Source organism: Homo sapiens, chromosome 4, assembly GCF_000001405.40.
Source record: "Homo sapiens chromosome 4, GRCh38.p14 Primary Assembly".
Classification (NCBI taxonomy): domain Eukaryota; kingdom Metazoa; phylum Chordata; class Mammalia; order Primates; family Hominidae; genus Homo; species Homo sapiens.
Genome location: NC_000004.12, coordinates 15,541,503 through 15,557,697, shown reverse-complemented (window position 1 = coordinate 15,557,697; position 16,195 = coordinate 15,541,503). Strand labels below are relative to the sequence as shown.

Below are 16,195 nucleotides of genomic sequence, written 5' to 3'. Positions count from 1 at the left end.
GAGGCAGAGAGATTATTTAAATGGTGAATTCAAGAAAAAGCATGGAAAGGTTATGTATAAAAGTGAAATAAAAGAGAAACCGCTATTGCTAGTGACAACATAACAAAAACAAAATACATATACAGTAGTATACCTAACAGCACAGTAGGTACTTTATTATTTTATTAACCCCTCTATGGCAGTTTCTTACCTGGAATACCTTTTCCATAATTTCTCGGTCATAGACTGGAACTTGCTTATAATTTCGGAATTCTGGCACCTCTTGGCTTCTAAGATGAAGAAGCCTAAATCGTTTGGATCTATTTAATTCTTGATCTGAAACAAAGTTAAACTCCTGTTGCAGCTGCTCCAGTCTAAAGAAATCAGGGACATAGGATTCACCACTGGTAGCAACCTATAAAAAACGGAAAATGCAAAACTCCAGATGACAGTCAGATCTCATCCAAAGAAACTTGGCACTGAGTGTCAAGGAACATTTAACAGTTTTAGATTAAAAGACTTGAAAGACAAAATACTTTAAAATATAATAATAATGAGTCACATGCTATTATATTCATTTAGTAGCTATAAACAATACCACAAATCATTTTCCAAACAATAAAAATTATATGTTTCACTTTTGGTGTTCATGCTTCCCTAGTAGTGTTATTACACAAATATACAGACTGAAAAAGGAGAGATTTGTGCCAGACTACAGTGTATTACGAGGTGCCTACTAGAAATAAGATTACCCATATACATATCGTATATAAAATCGAATATATGACTTTTTAATGTCATGTGCATATGCAGATAAAGGCCTCAGAGGCAGCTGGTCAGCTTTACTTGGCTCCACAGCCATGCTTTCCTGTCCCTGAATAGCACCTCACAGCCTTGGTCACTGAGAAAAGTTAGCCAGAGATGGATCCAGCCCAGCCAGCCTCCAAGGCCCCTGTGCATTGTCTCAAGAAGGCCAAGTCTGGCACCTCTGAGAAGCTGAGCAGATGTGGACTGCACCTCACCCAGGTGCTGCCTGCCTCTCTGCTTGGTGCTTTGCTGGCTGTAACCTCCTCCTGAGCAGAGGAAAAGCTAGTGCCCCAAGATGTGCTGGGGCCTTGCATGGGAAAGGCAATCCTGGTTCATAGCAAGAGACCAGTCAAGAAGGCAATCCCCGTTTTGTTCTTTGATGGGAAAACATATAGTTAAAAAGAAAATAATGAAAGTGACGTGTCTATTGAAATGTGATTTGAAAACTTTACATGGAATAGACTACATTTTAGGTAATATGACCCAATCTTCCAAATATTTCTATTAGGCACACTAAGGTGTATCATGCTTTAGGAGAGTTTATAAAGATAAAAGTCAGAATAAACCAAGGTTTGTTATGGGACTTGGAAAAACTAGAACCAAAATGAAAATGTTCATGCCGGCTACAATTATCCTATTGATAAACACATACTGATAGCCATGATCATAAGGATGTGTTGCTAGGGCTACCCTCTGGATTACCTACTTGTTTATTATGGCTTTGTGTGAATAATGAAGTTGCCAATAAAACCAATTGTATTCGATACCAAGAAAAATAAACTAATGTTCCAATTTATTTGCAAATTCATTGAAGAAAGAATTTTGAATATTATGGTAGATCTGAGCAATTTATCTGGTAAATACTTAAGTGAAACCTAAATGATAACTAATTAATCAACAACAAGAAAACAAAACAAATTTTCCCTAAAATGCCCCATCAGTGCTTTAAGTTGTGATGAAAAAAGCAAGTGTCCTGAAATCAAATCGACTTATTAGCTGAGTGACCTTAAGCAAATAACGCTGAGTTTCTGAACTCAGCTTCCTCTCTGGAGAAGGGGATATAAAACCTTTAGGAGTTTTACAGAGGTTGGAGGTAGGAGTGACAACAACAACAATATTTACTGCTCACAAATTGTGTGCCCAGATAAAGGGGTTTTGTTTGTTTGTTTGTTTTTGAGATGGGAGTCTCACTCTATTCAGACTGGAGTGCAGTGGCAAGATCACAGCTCACTGAAGCCTCAACCTTGTGGACTCAATTGATCCTCCCACCTCAGCCTCCTTAGTAGCTGGGACTATAGGCATGCGCCACCGTGCCAAGCACATTTTTACATTTTTTGCAGAGATAGGGTTTCGCCATGTTGCCCAGACTGGTTTCGAACTCTTGGGCTCAAGCGATCCTCCTTCCTTGGCCTCCCAAAGTGCTGGAATTACAGGCATGAGCCACCATGCCCGGCCGAGCTAAGAGTTTATCTGCAGCTGTTCATTTCCTCATGACCCCGCTATGACAGCAGCACAGGGCTTAGAAGCACTGAATACTTGCCTGGGTCCCATAGCCAGGCAAGAAGCACAGCTGGAATTCAAACTTGGCATTCAACCCAGCACCCATGTTCTTAAACAGTATTGCATAGGAGAAGATAGTGTAAAGGAAAATTGTGTAAAAGGCCAAGTCAAGAAATGGCATGTGTGCCTCCTGCTACATACCGAGATAAGCTGCATCAAAGGGGCATTGTTGGGGTCATTTGGGTCGAGCTTGGACTCTGCTGCCCACTTGGCCAATTTTTTCATGTCTGTCAGTCCTGATGTGCCAATAGATGAGATGGCATCTGCTTTCTTCAAAGCACTGAAAAGAAGAGTTGATTCCATGAGACTGACTTGACCACAGAACAGTTTGCATCAGGACCTCAAATTCTAGAGACAGCATGACTTGAGGAAGCTATTATCCTCCATGAGAGAAAATGTTATCATAAGGAAGGATTTTGTCATTTTTCTTTACATGATGATGGCTATTAAACATAAGGACAATAAAGAAACAGGAATGGAAGGACTGCAGATATGACTAATTCCTACAACTCTGTCCAGTGCATAAAAGTGCCCCTTGGTCCCTGGATTCTGGCCAGTGAAGAGGGGCCTCTGTATCTGGTGCTGGAAGCCCACAAAGCCTCACATCCCAGGCCACTGGGGCCCACTATAGCTGAGGACAAACCAAAAGAAAAAGAAACAAAACCAACTCTTTTTTTTGAGACAGTCTTGCTCTGTCGGCCAGGCTAGAGCGCAGTGGTGCGATTTCAGCTCACTGCAACCTCTACTTGCTAGGTTCAAATGATTCTCATGCCTGAGCCACCCAAGTAGCTGGGATTGCAGGCATGCGCCACCATGCCCAGCTAATTTTATTATTTTTTTTAGTAGAGATGGGGTTTTGCCATGTTGGCTAGGCTGGTCTCAAACTCCTGACCTCATGTGATCTGCCTGCCTCGGCCTCCCAAAATAGTCGGATAATGGACGTGAGCCACCGTGCCCAGCCTAAAACCAACTACTAAACAACAAACTTAAGCACCAGCTTTGGACACCTGGAGATCAAAGGAAGCCACAGTAGTCAGCAAGGTTGAGCTGGGGCTTTATTAATAGTCCTGCATATCTTGTTACTCACATTGTGTTTTACCTTCTATTCTGAGGAGTTGAAAGCTTTACTCCCCAGGAGATTTTTCTAGCACTAAATGCAAGTGAAATGAATGCAGACTTCTTACATTCAAAGGCATAGTCAGGCCTCCACTGGAAGTGGCTTCTGACTTAGAAAGCAAATAGCAGCATCTCCTTGTGGTTTTTATCACATGGACATGTGTGGTCGTTATGGGGATTGAAGGCATCAAGGGAACTAAACGAGCCCAATTCTGTTTTTCCATAAGTTGAACATGACAGCCTGTGACTTGGAAAGTGTCTTCTTCATGATCACAATGAATCCTTTTATTTTAGAGATGAGGCAACTGAGGCCTGGAATGGTGAAATGATTGACTGTAGACACATCTACTGGGGAATGACAGAGAGAGGCTCTGACAGAGGAAGACCCAGGCCACGGGCTACCACAATCTAAGCTTCAGGGACAACCATCAAACACAGGGAGGGGCTGGCCTAGGGTGAGGCCCAGAGTGCCTTTCTTCTGTTCTGAGTAGAGACTCAAGGATATAGCGATCAAGGGAGGAGGCTGGAGAATGGGGACTTTCATGTAAACAGCAGATCCTACACCAATCATCATTAGCAACAAACCTTTACTAAGGGCAAAATATATACAACTGTGATGCTGTGCATCTCCCCCATCTGTAAAATAGGGGAGAGAATACCTCCTAGAGTTACTGTGAAGATTAAGTTCTTTTCACTGTATCGAATACCGATAAACACTTAATATTTCTTAGGCTATTAATATTTTAATTTTTTGGACTAGAGGTTATTATAAAACATTTTTTGTTTTTACCTTAAGAATAAAAAACTCTTGAAAATACTGGCACCTGACAATAAAAGGAAAGAATATGATACTGCAAGCTTTCTTTCCCCTTGGGTATCTTTAATGATAACACTGACATTGCTCATCAATTTACTCTTGCCATGTATTACCTCCGAAATCCGATGTTCTGCTGTGACAATGGAGGAATTAAAGGTATCCCGTTTTCTCCAATGGCCCATGCCACACTATGAGACACTTTCCCTGAGGTCATCAGAGTCAGCTGGTTACTGCCATCAGCTTCAAATGAGAAGGGCACTCCTGGGGAAACACCAGATTAAACAGGATGCTGTTTAGAAAGAGGGACTGAGCCTAGTCCTGGCAAGAAAGCAGATAGTAGACAAATGGAACTTGGAGTGGGTGGGGGTGATGAAGATGGAGCACATGATTCAAGCCAGTGTCACTGAATTTCTTCAGGTGATGATGCTGACAGCTGCTCAGCTCTGTCTCTGATGGCAGAGAGTAGACATTCTCATGACGCACTCTCGAGTGGGTCCACCTGCTTCACAGCTTTGTGACCTTGGACAAATTAGTTAACTTTCTGAGCCATAGTTTTTAATGTATAAATCAGGGATACTAAATAGCACCTTCTTTGCAGAGTTATTTCAAAGACATTTATTTACTTAGTCATTCAAAGTACTTATTTGAGCTTCTACTTCATGCCAGGCACTATTGCAGGCACTGAAGATAGCGCTAAAGAAGCAAAACTGTTAAGAATCCCTGTTCTAAAAACTGAGAAAGAAAAGAACTTCTGATCTCATGGGGTGTATATTTGAGTCAGGGAGAGAAGCAATACTAAGAGAAATAAGAGAAATACTTAGTATGTTAGAGACTGTATGTAAGTATGTTAGTATACTAAGAGAAATACTTAGTATGTTAGAGATTGTATGTAAGTGCTAAGGAGAAACAAATTAGGGAAGGTATATAGAAAATTTGTGCTTTGGAGAGTGGAGAGGGGATAAACTTTTAGAAGGGGTGGCCAGGAAAGCCTCAATGAAGGCGACTTTTGAGTAAATGGCTGAAGAAAATGAAGAAGTGGAGGTAGAGGTGTATTGTTTTGGAAAAGAGCATTACTGGCAGAAGGAACAAGTGCAAGCACCCTAAGACAGACGTGAGGAACAGGAGTTAAATAAGTTAATATTTGCAAAGCACTTACACAATGCCTGGCAAATAGTGATCACACAACACATGTTAATTATTACTAAGCTGTTGTGGCTACAGTAAACTCTCACTGATTTGGCCTCTACCGATGGGAATTTAATGGTAAAAACGCTCTGGGCAGTTATTTAATCAACTAAAGGAGAAGATTTTCAAGCACTAAATGAAGTAACTCTAGATCTTTCCTTCATATTGAACATCCTATCTTGATCTTCAAAATAACCTTATAAGACATTAAAGGAGCTATTAATAGATCCATTTTATAAATGAGGAAAATGATATGCAAAGAGGTTACAAGACTACCAGAGTCTCACAGCTTGCCAATATCAGAGCTGGAACTAAAACCTAAGTCTCTGGACCTGAGGATTGGATTCGGCCTTAAATAAATAATGCAAATAAAGTTCCAGATATAAGTCACAATAAAAAAACAGACACATGAGGAAGCAAGACACCATAAACAAGAGGCAACAGAATCAGACCAATAAGTAGATAGGTATTGGAATGATCAGATACCTAATATTTAAGAATATTTTAAATATATTTAAATGAATGAATGAATGTATAAAAGAAATGATTGAGAGTCTGAGGAAAGGAAAAAAAGCTGTCAGAACTGACCACACTGATTGGGAAAGAACTAAGCATAATTTCTAGAGTTGAAATATACAGTAATTGGAAGGAAAAACAGAAAGGATTAGTTCCAATAATAAGAGACAGCCAAAAAGTGAATTCATGGCTTGGAGGACAAATTTAAAGAAATTATATAGATTGTAGCAGTGAAAGAAAAAGACAGCAAAGGTAATGAAGAAAGGTTAAGAAACATGGAGGAAGGAGTGAGAAGATCCATCATATATCCAATCGGAATTATAGAAGGAGATGAGAGAATATTAATTAAAAATCTCCCTGTTATAATTATTTCAAACTTTTTGGGCTTATGAACAACACTGTGATGTACATTTTTATGCATACATGTTTGTCCTCCTTTCAAATTATTTTCTTAGGAAAGATTCCTAGAAATAAAAGTAAGGCACCAAAGGTCATTTTCAAGGTTCTCAACTTACACTGCCAAACTACTTCATAGTTGCACAGTTATATGCACTTACATTGTCACCAACAGTATATAAAAAGCAACTTGGCAAAAAGTTGCATAGCATCATTGTTTGAATTTGAATTTTTGATATCAATTTTATAATTCTATGGTTGTCTGGGAAGTGAAATAGATATATACACATTCAAATCTGACAATGAAACAGTGAACCATTGAAGATATTAGCTTTCCATACCACTTCCAACTCCCTCGTGGTCCAGTGTCACATGCTGATTACTGCTAAACTCCACTTCTTCAGTAGGAGCCCTTCCAGTGACAACAGTAGTCTCAGGAATAGGCAGAAACACTTCTGCTAGCAAGGTGGGACTACTGTGTCCGACAGTTTCATAGACCTGAAAACCAGAGAAGAGAAATAGCCAATAAAAACAGCAGTAGTGTGTGCTCACGCTCAGATAATCAGTCCATGTTGTTAGTATTTGTGCTGGTCACTGTTCCAGCCCTAAGGGCTCATCTCATTGTGGAAAGTTGAGTTGTGTTACTATATGGTTTCCATGGAGATGAGCTTACAACTGTTTGTGGTCAAGTTGTTGACACCCAGCTTTCTTGCCTGGACTAATCTTCTGGGTAGGGAGGCTAATCAAAGTAGCAGGCGAGGATAATTGTTTTTATTCCAAACCAATATATGGCTTGCTAGGAGAATGGGCCTCCTCCTTTTCCAGGCTCAGGTTGTATTCAGACAGTAATGCCATCAGGAGGAATGGGTGGGACAGTAAGGACATGCCCCCAGATGGCTTATTATCTGCACCAATCTCCAAGTCAGTCGGAGAAGCTCCATATGCAGAAGCACTCCAGAGTGTTACATTTTTAGTAAATCTATCAAGTTCTTCTCTTTCAGGCCTCATTTTATTTGTTAGCTGCTGAAACTCCAGATTTTTCTCAGATCTTCTCCTAGATGGAGCCAATTAGACCATCAGCAGCTCTGCTACTGATCACTGCAGTGTGTCTCATTATGATGCCATCACCATGAGGTGAAGGGCCCCATTGCAGGGCAACCATCGTTTAAGAATACACAATCCAGCCTCAGTTGGACCCTTGGCTCCATTCGATCCCCTGTATTCTTGGCACACTTCACTTTTGTGGCAATATGACATAATATTCCACAGTTCTCCTGGCTTCTTTCCTGTGTTTTATTCTTTCTGTACATGAGGTCTCTGTGACTGGTTTACATTTTTTGAAAAATGCTGATTTTACTACTTTTATTTCCACTGATTAATCTTTATATTTTTCTTCTTATGTAATAGTCCCCCACTAGTTAATATTTTCCACTTACCACTTGAATGCACAAAGATGACACCATGGATTCTTTCCGCCAACCCTCCCTTACAGGGCATATGATCTGAACTTTTCTTTTTTTAGATGGAGTCTCGCCCTGTCACCTAGGCTGGAGTGCAGTGCCGTGATCTTGGCTCACTGCAACCTCTGCCTCCTGGGTTCAAGCGATTCTCCTGCCCCAGCCCCGCAAGTAGCTGGGATTACAGGCGCCCACCACCACGCCTGGCTAATGTTTGTATTTTTAGTAGAGACAGCGTTTCACCACGTTGGCCAGGCTGGTCTCAAACTCCTGACCTCAAGTGATCTGCCCTCCTCAGCTTCCCCATGTGCTGGGATTACAGCCTGATCTGAATTCTTGTCCAGGAGTGAGGATGAAGTGGTGACTGGCTACTATCCTGGCCTTGCCTCCCCAGTATCCATCACTCACCTTTGCAAGATGGCTGGCTGATCATGGAGGGGCACTGGGTCAAAGACAAAGGCAGAAATTGCACAGGTACTGAATTCAGGACCCCAGACTTAATTTTGCTGTGAGCTATTCTAATAGGCAGGAGTTCAGCAGGAAGCCCGTAAGTGGCACACTTAAAACACACTCTCTAAATTCATCTTTATCAGTTAAAAAGGCAATATTTTGATCTATACTAAAAAGTCTTTTATGGAAAATTTCAAACACATATAATGCAGGAATAATAATATGCCACAGACCTGTCACCCCCAGCTTCAATGATCACTATGTTATGACCATCTTACTTCATCTATACTGTCAACCACTCCCCTCCCCTCCATTATTTTGAATCTAGACATCATTTTATCTGTAAATATTTCAATATGTATCTATAATAGATATTTTTAAAAAGCATAATTACAATACCATTTTTATAATAATTCCTTAATAACCTCAACTATTAGTAAGTTTCAAATTTCCTTGAGAGCCTCAAAAAATTCTGTAACATTTTGTTTGAATCAGGATCAAAATATATTCCATATGTTGTAATTGACTGATATGTTCCTCAAGCCTCTATTAATTTATAAGTGACCCTTCCTCTTTTAAAAAATGTTCTCTATATTTTTATTGGTTCACAACTCTGATGGGACAAGGAGTGCCATTTGTTGCTTGACCCAACACTCTTAAGAGCCTATAATTCTATAATCTTCTACAGCTTAAAGAACATGTAGTAGTTATCATTTATTGCACTGGAGACCTTGGTTTGACCTCTTAAATTACAAACTCATTGGCATGAAGTCTTTTCCCAAGAAAATGATGTGTTTTCTTTCATTTTGTTTGAAATGAAAGAAACCACATTTTTTTTTTTTTTGCCAGAATTAATTGAGACAAAAATTTATTGAGACATCCTTTTGTAGGAAGCACAGGGACTTAAGGGCCTTTCGGAGTGGTACCTTGTTTAATCTTCACCACAATCCTATGAAAGGCTATGAAAGGTGGTTTTTACTCCTCATGGGTGTTCCCTGTGCTGGTCACCATGCCTGGTGATGACCAATAAAACATAAGTGATCACATAAAGGGTGTTTCTGAGGACGTCAGTGGAAGGCGGCTTATTCCTAGTTTCTGGAGCCACATTCCTAGCTGGTGCCTAGAGAGGAACTGAATGGGGGCTCTTGGTGCCAAGTCTGTAGGCAGAGGCAATCATGGACTCTAGGGAAATGGAGGGTTTGCTAGTTGGTGTTACTGTCTCAGGAGATATTTATCAGATTTTTTTAATGAGAAAAAAACGGATTCTATCTGACAAAGCCAAAAAAAAAAAAATCCAGAATTTCCCCAATCTTTATTTCCTACTCTCTTAAGATAGCAGAAGTTCTTTTATTTATTTTTATTTTTTATTTTTTTGGATACGGAGTTTCGCTCTTGTTGCCTAGGCTGGAGTGCAATGGAGTGATCTCGGCTCACAGCAACTTCCACCTCCTGAGTTCATGCAATTCTCCTGCCTCAGCCTCCTGAGTAGCTGGGATTACAGGCATGCACCACCACGCCCCGCTAATTTTCTATTTTTAATAGAGACGGGGTTTCTGCATGTTGGCCAGACTGGTCTCGAACTGCCAACCTCAGGTGATCCACCCGCCATGACCTCCCAAAGTGCTGGGATTACAGGGTGAGCCACCGTACCTGGCCCAGAAGTTCTTTTAAATGCTAGGAAGAAATGCTATTTTTAAAAATTAGGAAATGGGTACTTTGGGCTTTAAGTAGGTATTTATAAGTAGATCTCTGTATAATTTAGTTTCATTTTTGTTTTCTCTCAACGATGCTGAGGGTTCTCAGGCCAAGTAATTCTTTGTTGTGGTGAGTTGTATGTTGTAGGATGCTTAGCAGCACCCCTGGCCTCTCACTCATATGTGGGAGCCTAAAAAGCTGATCTTATGTAAGAAAAGAGTAGAATGATGGTTATCAAAGGCTGAGAAGGGAGGAGGTAGAGGAGGAGGATGAAGAGAGGTTCGTTAATGGTATAGAAATATAGTTAGAAGGAGTATGTTCTAGTGTTTGATAGCACAGTAGGGTTACTATAGTTAACAATAACTTACTGTATATTTCAAAATAGCTAGAAGAGAAGATTTAAAATGTCTGCAACACAAATGATAAATGTTTGAGGTAATAGATATTCTAAATACCCTGATTTGATCATTATACATTCTATTCATGTATCAAAATACCACATGTACCCCATAAATACATACAATTATTATGTATCAATAAAAAAGTTTAAAAAATCACAGAATATTGTAAAGGTACAAAAGAAAAGAATCACAAGTTTTGTTTTTCCCATCTAAAATGATAGCATGTAACCAGCATGTTTTTTTCCTGCAGACATTTCTATACCTGTCATTTTGTCAGAGAAATAAAGCAAGGAAGATTTTTTTTTTAATGGGAATTCTCCCATTATAGTACCCATGGCTTTCTTCGGGATAACACGAGATAACATATGTAAATATTGTGTTCCTGCAGTAGACACTTAGTAAACATTTCCTAGAGATTTCCCAGTTTCACAGGCCTTGTCTCATTCAAACCCTCATTGTCTTACCTTTAGATGACCACACCTGTCTTCTTGCCTCATGCAACCCATCTTCCCTGCAGCCGCCACCCGACTTCCTACCAGCCCTCAACCACCTGACCTTTCCAACTGCACACAGCAGGGCTTTCTGGGATCAGCAGTCTGACTTGCTGTCATCCAGTTTAAAGCATGGCAAGTAAGATGTATGTGAAAACATCTGTTTTGGACTTGGGTCCATAAAGAACCAACAGCAACCACAAAAGTGAGGTAGGCGAGGGTAAACAAGGACACTTCTCCAAACATGACTGTTATTCCCACTCTGATAGAGGAGTTATTCCTCAGATGAGCCAGAGAATTAGGAAAGGCCCTGAGAAGAGAAAGCTGGGCCATCACCAAGTAGGTTAAAAGGAGAATTTCCCTATCTCAATCCACATGCCAGGAATACAAAAGCTTAACAGGATTGACTAATAAGGAAAAATGATAATGTTAAAAAATTTAAAAGGCACCCAGCAATATTATACCACTGTTGTTAGTTGTTTTGGTGTTGAGAAGATGAATGTAGGATAAAGTTACAGATGCAAATGACACAAAAATGAAGGCAAAGCTTTTTAAATTTCTAAGCCAAATTTCATTTTTAAAACCCTACATATTTATTTTGGAAAGGCCTCCAAAGCCAAGATTTTCAAGACCTTTCTGGAAGGACTGTGGCCTGGCTCCAACTCCCCTGTCCCATGAAGTCCAATCTCATCCTTCTCTTGGGGCCAATTTTTTTTTTGAGACAGGGTCTCACCCTGTCTCCCAGGCTGGAGTGCAGTGGCGTGATCATGGCTCATTGCAGCCTCAAACTCCCAGGCTTAAGCAATCCTCTTGCCTCAGCCTCCCAAGTAGCTGGGACTAGAGGTATGTACCACCATGCCCAGCTAATTTTTTAAAATTTTTGTGGAGATGGGGTCTCGCTAGGTTGCACAGGGTGGTCTCAAACTTCTGGGCCCAAGCTATCCTTCCGTCTCAGCCTCCCAAAGTGCTGGGATGATAGGTGTGAGCCACTGTGCCTGGCCCAACTCTGATTCTCCCCTTTTTACTTCCTCAAGTTAAACTGTCATCAAGCTCTGTGGATTCCACCAATTCTGGCTCCAATCTTACTTTAATTAATTCCTTCTTCCCATCTTCCCATTTCTACTGCCAGGCCCTGAGCCCATCCCCTCACTCCTGGCTTTCTGTGCCAGCCTTTGGACTTACCTTCTGCTTGTAGAACTGCCTTGGCATTCTTATCTCAAGCCTGGCTAGAAGCTCTGAGCCTTATGGTTACAAACATGCAAGAAATCAAACATCACAGTCTACACTGCTCCTTTCAAAGGTCGTTAACATCTATGCACCAGTGAGTATTGATTCTTTGTAGCTCTCCCTTATATCCTAGCTGGACTGAAACTCCTGAGGCAGGGTCCTATGTGCCCCTCTGTATACATGGCTTCCAATTCTCCACAACACCCTGGCTTAGATACGCAGTTGGCTTTTCACAATCAAGCAGAAAACATTGACCACTTGGTTGCTGAGTTATCAATTGATGCATTATAGTTTTGAGAATCTTAGAACTTTTTCTGAAATATACTATGCTTTAAAGTTAAGAATTTGATAGCATTGGCATTAACAGATGTATTTTAGGTGAGTTTTTCTACCCTCCTAAAGTTGCCAGTAATTCTTCCCTAGTTTAAATCTAGCAATCATGTGGAAAATTTCCAAATAGCAGAGTACTTACTATGACTAGAGACTTGAAATACAGTATCTCCTAGATTAATTTAATCTGTAGTCACTACTCAGTCTTAAAAAACTATGCCATTATGCCATTGTGGTATGAGAGTTGGGCAGTTATCAAATCCCTTTAAATAGCTTAAGAACTTAGTCAAAACTCCCTTAATTTATAACTTTTTAAAAAATTACATGATTTAGTTTTTAGGACCAAGCTTATTGCCTATGAATATATTCTGGATAATATTCTGGGTAACTTTGCTTTTTTATTTAAAAATTTATTTCATAGTATTGTCACATTGGTTTTTCAAAAATTATTTTGACTGTAACATCCACAGCAAGCTAATATTCAAGGCAATAAGCAGGAGATAGTATTGAAGGCTTTGTTTACATTTTAGAATATATGTGAAATAAAATACTGGTGTGCTGTGGGAGACAGAAGATAGTCTCTCCCTCTAAAGTAATTCAGAACATTCAGAAGTGCCCATAGTGGGAGTGTGTTTCACAGGCTGCCTGGGTAGTAGTCTGAGCTCTCACCCATCAGTGGAGGCATGGCTGGGCACCTGCAGGAGGGGAGGCCTTCTTGCCTTCTCTCCTGTCTTTCTGAGTCTGCCAGTGGGTGTCTCCTGGCCCACTTCCTTTCCTTCCTGCCTGCCTCATTACTGTCTTCTGCTCTTCCTTCTAGCTCTCTATCCGGTCTTCTCATGTTAATCTTGGTCTTCCTGATATCAGCTTTTCCTCTGTAGGGGAGGAACAGGGAGGATGAGTTGATGATGGATGTCAGACTAGGAGGCAGAACTCTGAATACTGACCTCTTCACTATTGATGCCTGCAGAAAGGGAGGGACTCATGTGGGCCCCTGCAGCTCCTCCTCTATTCAGGGCAGGTGACAGAGGAGCGGCAAGTGTGCTTCTGGAGTTTGCGTTTCTTTACTTTCTCAGTCAAGTTTTATTCTTAGTTTAGACAATGTTTTGTGTGCAGTAAGTCTTACTTTAAAATTTAAGTGAATGTGTTCAGGGGCACGGCAGACAGGTTGATGTGGGAAGCAGTGAAGATGGGAGGCTTCAGAATTCAACTCTCCCTAGCAAGGCATTCAGATTTTAAATGTTCCATCCAAATGGAAAGGAATCCCTGCAGGGAATCCCTGGCTAAGAAAGGCTGCTCTTAATCCGTTGTTAGTGGTATATAGTATAATAGACTTTATCATTTAAACATATCTGAAATTGAATGGTCTTCCAGTTGTGATGATGTACATAGTTTAAGTGGCTCAAATAATTGTACATCCCAGTGAGTGGTGATGAGATGGAGAGATTAGCTGAAATTCAGGAAGCAGGATAACAGACCCCACTGACACTGCTAAGAGGACAGAGGAAGAGGAGCCCTTCAAGTGTTCCAGGCCATCAGCCTCAGCAGAAGCCCCAGAGCAGATGGAATAGAGAGTCCACGTGGACCCCACAGCAGGGGCAGGGACCTCACAGGGGCTGTGTCCAGTGACCACGTATCTGAAGGCTGCCCCAGTTCTCCTCTCCAGTGCAGAGTTGGGCAACTCTCTACTTTTACCTGCAGACAAAATCACCTCATTTCATTCTCTGTGTTCATTCAGAGTTATAAATCAAGGAAGAAGTAAGCATTAATAGAAATTATTTTCCCCCAGTTGATATTCAGAAAGTGAATTTTCAGGCTTAAGAAAATCTCAGGTTTTCACCAAACCTCCAACTCCAATCCCCTTTCTAAAACCATTTTCTACTTGCTTTCTCCTCTCACTCATATTATGTTTAAGTTAGCAGCCAAAAAAGTTTGTTTTTTTTCAAGTTTCAGAATACACAGACATTTAAAAAAATTACGTGGCACTTTAAAGAGTTATATGAGTGACAAGACTAAGCCAAATTCTAAAGTTCTAAAATTTCAAGAAAAAAATTTCAGCTATGCAGATATCAATCCTGTTATCAATACAGCAAAGGAATTTTGCTTGAGTCTTGATGCTTGGTGCTTTGTAAATGAGGACCACCCCTGCCCTCACCCACCCCCCAGATCACAGATTAAAAGGTACAGGACAGAACTGCCACAGGCACTGAAGGAATTCTAAGCCAAGGCGGTTGACCTTGGGTGCCCAGTGCCGGCCCTTTCAGGTTCTGCCTCTTATTTCTTGGCACCGCTTCCTCTCTTTCCATTCAGTGCTTCCTTCCCACTGTCAAAAGAACACATCCCAGCTGTCACGAACGTCCTCTACAGGTTGTAGAAGGTTTTTAACTACTGAGATCTAGGCGGGGCTTGATATTCAAAATGCTGAACAATACACAGTATTGAACCCACCTCCTGGGTTCATTAGAAGAGCTGCCCACCACAGCTTGGGAACAGGACCCTGGAGGCGCTGGCCTTGGTCAGCCACCCCCTTTAATTGGTCAATTGTGGTAAGGTCCAGGGGGTCCTTGAAGTGGGGCTTATGTGGCCAGGATGGCATCTGGGAAGGTCAGGGCAGCAGCTATTTATCAGTCAGTACAGAGTATGTAAATATTTTATTAATTATACAGCCATGATGGTACCTGCAGACTTTGTCAGTCATACTCACTAGGAATAGGTAGTGGCTACCTGAAGTACTGTATTGAGAAGAGTTCTAAAATTATATTCAGGCTCAGTGGGAAAACACAACAAAAATAGCACCATCAATTATTGCTTTCTGGCAAGGGTGGTGGAGGGGAGTGAGAAATTTCTGCCTAAGTGATGGATGAGGATCTGTGATTTCTGCCTGGGTGGTGGTGGGGAAACAAGGGCATGCATGCCACAAAGCTGCAATCCTAGTTAACAAGCCTGTTAGGATCATAAGAGAGACCTGTTAGCATTGTGGGAGAAGAGTCACCGAAAGAACAAGCAAGACTGAAGACACTGTAATGGGTTAAATAGCATCCTCCACATATTGATGTCCGCCCAGAAACTCAGAATGCGACCTAATTTGGAAATGGGGTCTTTGCAGATATCATTAGTTAAGGATGAAGATAAGATCATATTAGATTAGGGTGGGCCCTAAATCCAATAAGAGTGTTCTTATAAGCGACAAAAGAGGACCCACAGAGAGAGACACAGAGAAGGCTATGTGAAGATGGAAGCAGAGATTAGAGTTACGCTAACACAAACCAAGGAACTCTAAGTGCCAGGAGGAGCTGGAAGAGGCAGGGAAAGATACTCCTCTAGAGCTTTTGGAGGGAGTATGGCCCTACTGACGCCTTGATTTCAGACTTTAGGCCTCCAGAACTGTGAGTAAACACATTTCTGTTGTTTTGAAGCCACCAAGTTAGTGGTTCCTTGTTATAGTTTAGTTTCCCCAGGAAACTAAAATAGACTCAAATAAATATATTGCTAATGGTGGGATTTAGGCTAGTGAGGAGATTTATTAATTTTTGGGGGATCCTAGCACCTGTATCTTTCCCACATCATAACCTCCCATGATTGCGGCATAATTGATTTCTCTGTTATATTACACTAGAGTCCTTGTAGAGGGTGATGTTGAAATATGTCTTCAATGAATGAGCTGGAGATCTCCCTGTGCCCCACCCCCTTCAGCACCCCTCTCCCATCTCAAGGCAGACACTCCAGAGCACTGTGGCCAGAGTTATTCTGCCAGCATTTTCAGTAGGTGAG

General features: G+C 41.0%; 1 protein-coding gene across 5 annotated transcripts in view, besides 1 other annotated feature; it reads right to left on the bottom strand.

Annotated features, from left to right (window-relative positions):
- The window catches only part of CC2D2A (coiled-coil and C2 domain containing 2A), a 131,693-nt gene that overhangs the window by 43,860 nt on the left and 71,638 nt on the right, over window positions 1-16,195 (bottom strand). For all 5 annotated transcript variants that reach the window (NM_001080522.2, XM_047416010.1, XM_011513872.4 and 2 more), the window contains 4 exons: window positions 6,718-6,874; window positions 4,393-4,540; window positions 2,488-2,626; window positions 191-394 (listed from right to left, as the gene is read on the bottom strand). In NM_001080522.2, coding sequence (NP_001073991.2) covers window positions 191-394; window positions 2,488-2,626; window positions 4,393-4,540; window positions 6,718-6,874 — 648 coding nt within the window. The remainder of the gene's footprint in view (window positions 1-190; window positions 395-2,487; window positions 2,627-4,392; window positions 4,541-6,717; window positions 6,875-16,195) is intronic.
- Window positions 13,429-14,010: an enhancer, noted in NCBI's record as "OCT4-NANOG-H3K4me1 hESC enhancer chr4:15545311-15545892 (GRCh37/hg19 assembly coordinates)". NCBI's record gives its function as "activates a minimal SCP1, AML or CMV promoter by ChIP-STARR-seq in naive and primed H9 embryonic stem cells {active_cell/tissue: H9 hESC(naive and primed)}" and the evidence as "EXISTENCE:reporter gene assay evidence [ECO:0000049][PMID:30033119]".